Source organism: Homo sapiens, chromosome 8 (assembly GCF_000001405.40).
Source record: "Homo sapiens chromosome 8, GRCh38.p14 Primary Assembly".
NCBI lineage: Eukaryota > Metazoa > Chordata > Mammalia > Primates > Hominidae > Homo > Homo sapiens.
In genome coordinates, this window is record NC_000008.11 from 120,937,707 (window position 1) to 120,945,068 (window position 7,362).

At 38.6% G+C, this 7,362-nt stretch overlaps 1 annotated feature.

Annotated features, from left to right (window-relative positions):
- Nucleotides 1,363-1,657: an enhancer, noted in NCBI's record as "tiled region #15420; HepG2 Activating DNase unmatched - State 12:CtcfO, and K562 Activating DNase unmatched - State 12:CtcfO". NCBI's record gives its function as "activates a minimal TATA promoter and a strong SV40 promoter by Sharpr-MPRA in HepG2 and K562 cells {active_cell/tissue: HepG2 | K562}" and the evidence as "EXISTENCE:reporter gene assay evidence [ECO:0000049][PMID:27701403]".

A 7,362-nucleotide genomic window follows, 5' to 3' on the forward strand; every position in this document is an offset into this window, starting at 1 on the left:
AGGAGCATGCCCAATTGTTGTGGGTGGAGGTAGGGAGTAGTTGCAGAATTACTGGGTTGATTTTGGCAGGGGGTAGGACACATATTGTCCCACCACCCACTTTCTGATCCTTTGTATCAGCTGAGCAGGATGGGAAACTGTCCTTTGTGTGTACAGGGGCAGGGACCTGGGCTGACCTCAGCATGTGGCCATGAGTCTTTTCCCGCCTTACCATGTCTGTAGCCACTGAGGAGGAATGTCTTCCCTTGGAGTTGGCAGTCCTCCACCACTTAGTAGTTGTGGGACCTTGGGCATGTTATTCAATCTCTCTGAGCCTTAGTTTCCTGTCTATGGACTGAGGATGATAACATAGGGTTCTTGGCAGTACCAAGTGAGATAATATAATTCAAGTGCTTAGCACATCAAATGCCTGGAGGAGCTGTCCCCAATGCCAGAAACAACTTGTGAATCTTAGTTCATTCAAAAAGGAGAAGGAGCCTGGAGCTGTGTAGCTGTTTCTATGAAGGCTTTATTTGCATGCTCATTTCTCTCTCAGAGGGACAACTACAACTAGTCAATTAGAGCAGAATGTTGGCTAAGAAAATTCAACCCAGCTCAGTAGAAGTGAATGCTGTGAAAGTGTTCTTCCATTGCCGTATCACAGCCTTTTTACTGTTCAAATGATATTGGAAGTTAAAAATACTGGGGCAAATATGCTCTTGCAATGGATCATGCCGATTTGATTTAAGGTGAGTGAGGTAATGATTTTAGGTAAATCACTAATTCATTTTGCTCAAGACATTTCACCAAAATTTGACATAAATAGCTTCATGAAATAAGACTTAAGTTTGCGGCCGGGCGCGGTGGCTCACGCCTGTAATCCCAGCACTTTGGGAGGCCGAGGCGGGTGGATCATGAGGTCAGGAGATCGAGACCATCCTGGCTAACAAGGTGAAACCCCGTCTCTACTAAAAATACAAAAAAAATTAGCCGGGCGCGGTGGCGGGCGCCTGTACTCCCAGCTACTCGGGAGGCTGAGGCAGGAGAATGGCGTGAACCCGGGAAGCGGAGCTTGCAGTGAGCCGAGATTGCGCCACTGCAGTCCGCAGTCCCGCCTGGGCGACAGAGCGAGACTCCGTCTCAAAAAAAAAAAAAAAAAAAAAAAGACTTAAGTTTGCTCACCTTACATGGAGCCAAACGTCATGTCACAATAGGGGAAGGAGGCATTTTCAGTAGTAAAACTTGAACTAAATAAAATGCTTTTTAAGAACTCCTATTGTTCCATTGTTTTTTGGAATCCTTACACACTGAATACCCAGAGGAATTTTTTTCCCAGAGAACAGAAGGGTCTATACAAAAACAAGCTATCTTATGGGGAATGGTAGGAGAAAATGAAAATTTAGGCCTATTGAAACATTATTCCAGGAGTCTGACTCATCTTCCACCGTACAGACTGCTTTACTTTCCCAAGTGCTGCTCTAGTCCGCCTAAAAACTGAGTCAGGATGACACAGTCACTTGTCATTGCTGCCATCTAATGGTGTCAGGTCATATCACAGGACAAATTTAAGACCTCAGGTGATTTGCTATTCCCTGGAATACCAGTGCTCTTACAGGTAGACTAGGCTTACATTAAGAAGAGGACGAGACTGATTATATGGTGTGATTTTAGGGGTGAGAGGAAAGCTGGACATTCTTCAACTGCTGATATGGTCTGGCTCTGTGAACCCACCAAAATCTCATCTTGAATTATAATCCCCACATGTTAAGGGAGGGACCTCGTGGGAGGTCATTAAATGATGGGGGCAGTTACCCCATGCTGTTCTCATGATAGCGAGTTCTCATGAGATCTTACGGTTTTATAAGGGGCTCTTCCCCTTTGCTCTGCGATTCTCTCTCCTGCCACCTTGTGAAGAAGGACATGTTTGCTTCCCCTTCCACCATGACTGTACGTTTCCTGAGGTCTCCCCAGCCATGCGGAACTGTGAGTCAATTAAACCTCTTTCCTTTATAAATTACCCAGTCTTGGGTATTTCCTTATAGCAGTGTAAAAATGAACGAATACAATAACCATTATCTTTGAGAAGAATAACTCTAGGTCAATGCTACTCTAAATGTCATCTAAGCACGCATGTCAGCTGAAGAGAGTAAGTTTCTTTAATATTGGAAGACTAGGGTGAGATGAATACGATGTCCTGAGGAAACAACCTTGACAGTTCTGTGTGACACCAGAAATATGTAAAATGACAGTGAATTGTCACTCAGGGATGCGAATGATGCTGAATATACATAACATTCTTCTGAGTAGCACTTTTATTTTTAGGGCTTTTTAACATGTATCACATCATCAATTTTGCCTCTAGATGGGAATTAGGATTTCCTGGTAGGATTGAGGGGTTGTGGGAAGCATAAACTACAAATAAGCAAATTAGTAATTAAAGACTATTTATAACCATGATTAATTATAATGGATAAACAATTCTGTGCTTCAAAATTTTGCATACCTTCCTTGTGGTTTATTGTTAAATAGCCACATAGCATTGTTTGCAGAATATTTTGGTTATGATGTTGAAATAGCTGAATTGTTTGATAAACTTACTCAAAACACTTTATTTAGTTTTTCTATCTGAAAGCAAACTTAATGGAACATAGTTAATATGTTTCTTCTGCCCGCCATTTTAATAATTATAGCAAATACTTATTAAATAACTAGTATGTGTGAAGTACTATTCTAGGAACTTTGGATATCTTTTAAATATAAAAGGTGATATAGTCTTAGTTATTCTGAGAAATTGTCAAGTGACGTGGTGTGTTCCTTTGGAAATCCAGAGAGCGGTTTCCATTCAAAAGCATAGTATCCATCTCCTTAAGGTTAATCAGCTGTTTAGGAATTAGATCCTGGACTGAATATTTGAATAATTCCCTTCCTTGCTGTAGGTTCTTACTGAAAACAGTAATGTCAAAAAGAGAGTTTTTACTTAAAGGATATTTGTGATAGCAGAAACGATACCTGCCACAGGTGCACATTAGCACCCTTGGCCAATCAGTAGTCTTACAGCTTCCCTGAGAAGGTCCTGCATAATTAATAGGGAGCTGGTATCCAAACTCCGTCCAATGACAAACTAGTCAGCAGTGGGTGATCTACTGATGAGGGGATGTATGTGTTTAATTTTGTTTTGTTTTGAGCAGGTCGGTTGTAGAATTAGGAATTGGCAGCTAAAATGACCTTTGCCTTCTTTTACTCATTTGGCAGGACAAGTCCTGTAGTCATTTTCCTAAAAGCATTATCAAGTAAGGACAAGGTGTTTAAGCAGCTATTAGAGGGACTTCAGCAGTATCAGAGGTTTGAAATTAACTACTGACAATGCAGCCTTGGTTGGCAAGAGAGAGCTAGGACAGTGAAGAGAAGGCATTGATCAAGGGATTCAAAGAATAATATATCTGTGTTTTTAAAGTCTTCTATGGAGATACCTTCTCACAGTATTTAAGGCTAAGGGACAGAAACATTATCCTGGTTACAAGGTCCTTTACTAGGAAAAAAGGCAGGGTAGATGCTGTCCTTGAAATTCACAAGAGCAAATTGCGTTATATGGATTTGTGTACATTTGAGTGTTGTTAGATTTGGAAAAAACATCCTTTCAGTATATGTTATCACAGTTCACCAACATTCATCTCTGGGAAGACAGAGTATAACACATGCTTTAAGAAATGTCAAGAAGTGTGGTGTGAGAGGAAAGTTTTCCCCTATTGTGCCATATGTGTTCATCCCAAGAATAAAAGAGCCTGAATGGATTAGCCAATGACCATTTACTAACCTGCCATTTCACTAGCACCTATTATGTGCTAGAAACTTTGTATAATCATCTCTAATTCTCAAAACAGCATGTACCTCATTTTTTACTATGAAGACAGGAAAACTCAGAAAGATTAAATATATTGGGTAGGAACACGCAATGTATAAGTTGCAGAGTTGCTTATTCTAGGGGATCACATGAGTTTTCTACATTTATTGTCATTAATGGGCAGAAATCTAGTTGCTACCCCCAACCACCAAATAACCACAATATATATTCTTTAAATTAAACCTATGCTTTCTTCTAAAAGAAACTCAAATAATGTTCTCCCAGTGTACTGCTGATGTTGGGGTAAAGCAGATATTTTCTTCAGATGGTATTCTGTGCCTTTTATGGGCATTTGAGTGAGATTACAAAGAGCAGTATCATTAATCATGCAAGTTGTTCCCATCTGTAAAGTGTCAATGAATTACATTCTTCAGAATGCAAGTGAGAATGGCCATCTCTGGCATTACGTATTGTGAACAGTTCTAAATTAGTGTGAAACCACCTACTCCTAGTAATCATGACAGTGTCAGGAAGTAATGAGGCATTTAATTGAAAACAGCAGACAGTATCCAGATCTTTGATAATTGCTTTTGGAAAATATTATAAAATTTGGACGGGGGAACATTCTATTTCATAATTATTTTATTAGGCTTATGTAAAAATGATTTTTGCACCTTTTTGATTCTAGGAGAATAAAAGAAGTAAGTGGCCCAGATACTCTGCTAAGCAAGAAAAAACGCCCAAGGTTAAAATGCTGGGCTGCATATGAAAACATAAATTATAGCCAACCTTCTATATCTTAACATCACTTTCCCCAAGGTTTTTCATTGTTTATATTTGGTGTGTGCTAAGTATTTATAAATGCATTAAAGTTATTAACCATTTTTATTCAAGTTGTTTTGCTGAACATCTTTAATCAGTATTTTCACTCCATATATGTAAATAAAAACACCATGTGTTCAAATAGACACTCCAAATGTATCTGAAAAAGTTTGTTCTCTTAAACAGCATAAAGCATTCTTCCATAGTTCTCTTCTCCAATTCTGGTTTTTTGAGTCGGAGTCTCATTCTTGTCACCCAGGCTGGAGTGCAATGGTGCGATCTTGGCTCACTGCAACCTCCAACTCCTAGGTTCAAGCAATTCTTCTGCTTCAGCCTCTCCAGTAGCTGAGATTACAGATGCCCACCACTGAGCCCGGATAATTTTTGTGTTTTTAGTAGAGGCAGGGTTTCACCATGTTGGCCAGGTTGAACTCCTGATATTGGGTGATCTGCCTGCCTCAGCCTCCCAAAGCACTGGGATTACAGGAGTGAGCCACCGTGCCCAGCCCCCCTCTCCAATTCTTGCTAACCAAATTTGCTTAATAGATATATTCTTTCTTATGATCCAAAGGCAAATGTCTTCTCCAAGTTTGGCGAGTTATTATGAATTCTACATCAATGTAGAACAACTTGAAGTTTTACTGTATTAATTAATGTATTTGTAACAAGTAAGTACTGGGTATGCAGTTATGTGTGTATGTAAATGGCATAGTTGTAGGTATGTGTTTGTAACATATATATGCATTGTATATTAAATACATAATACATAGATGCATATATGCATGCACCGGTTGTTCTGTGTAGTATCTATTGAATTTTTCATTTATTCTTTTACCGATAGAAGTTTTTTCCCATTGAAGAGTAGTGTTTTATAAACACGAAGTTAAAAACAATCCTGAGATGTATTGACTAGGAATTCATGAAGGTAAAATTCAAAAATTTATTTGCTAGATTCTAACAAGTTAGCATAATTCTAATACTAGAATTACCAGGTTTTAATATTGGGAAATATGTAAATAATTAAAATTTTCAATTTTTACCAAGGTGGGTGGTAAAATAATAATAATTTAGAACACTATTTATAGAACACTAGAGCTTATTCCTATCTAGCTGTAATTTTGTATCTGTTAATTAACTTCTCCATATCTCCCTGCTTCCCAGCCTCTAGTAACCATATCCTAATCTCTGCTTTTATGAGACCAAATTTTTCAGCTCCCAAATATGAATGAAAACACGTGGTATTTGTCTTTCTGTACCTGGCTCATTTCACTTAACATGATCTTCTCCAGGCTCATCCATGTTGCTGTGAATGACAGGAGTTTTTTCTTTTAATGGCTGAATAGTATTTCACTGCATATATATATATACACACACACACACACACACACACATATATACATATATACACATATGTGTGTATATACATGTGTGTATATATACACGTATATACGTATATGTGTGTATATATATGTATGTATATACATATATATGTGTATATATGTATGTATATACATATATATGTGTATATATGTATGTATATACATATATATGTGTATATATGTATGTATATACATATATATGTGTATATATGTATGTATATACATATATATGTGTATATATGTATGTATATACATATATATGTGTATATATGTATATGTTTACATAGATACACACCACATTTCCTTTTCTTTTGCTGGACATTTCAGTTAATTTCATATCTTGGCTATTGCAAATAGTGATGCAATTAACATAGGGCAGATATATTTTTGACATATCAATTTCCTTTCATTTGAACATATACTCAGTAGTGGGATTGCTGGGTCAGATGGTAGTTCAATTTGCAGGTTTTTGAGGAACCTCCATACTGTTTCCCCTAGTGGCTATGCTAATTTGCATTCCCACCAACAGTGTATAAGGATTCCCTTTTCTCTGCATACTCATTAGAATTTGTTATTTTTGTCCTATTTAAATAATAGCCATTCTAACAGGGGTAAGATGGTATCTCATTTTGGCTTAATTTGCATTTCCCTGATGATGAGTAATGTTGATCATTTTTTCATGTTGGCCATTTGTATGTCTTCTTTTGAGAAACGTCTATTCAGGCCGGGAGCGGTGGCTCACGCCTATAATCCCAGAATTTTGGAAGGCCAAGGTGGGCAGATCACCTCAGGTTAGGAGTTCGAGACCAGCCTGGCCAACATGGCGAAATCCCGTCTCTACTAAAAGATACAAAAATTAGCTGGGCGTGGTGGCATGGCATGTGCCTGTAATCCCAGCTACTTGGGAGGCTGAGGGAGGAGAATCACTTGAACCTGGGAGGTGGAGGTTGCAAGTGAGCTGAGGTCGTACCACTGCATTCCAGCCTGAGCAACAGAATAAGACTCTGTCAAAAAAAAAAAATCTAGTCAGATCATTGCCTATTTTTATTTTATTATATTTTTTATTTTTTGAGATGGAGAATCGTTCTGTCACCCAGCGTGGAGTGTAGTGGTGTGATCTCGGCTCACTGCAACCTCTGCCTCCTGGGTTCAAGTGATTCTCCTGCCTCGGCCTCCCAAGTAGCTGGGATTACAGCATATGCCATGATGCCCAGCTAATTTTTGTATTTTTAGAAGAGATGGGGTTTCACCATGTTAGCCAGGCTGTTCTTGAATTCCTGACCTCAAGTGATCCTCTTGCCTTGGCCTCCCAAAGTATTGGGATTACAGGTGTGAGCCACC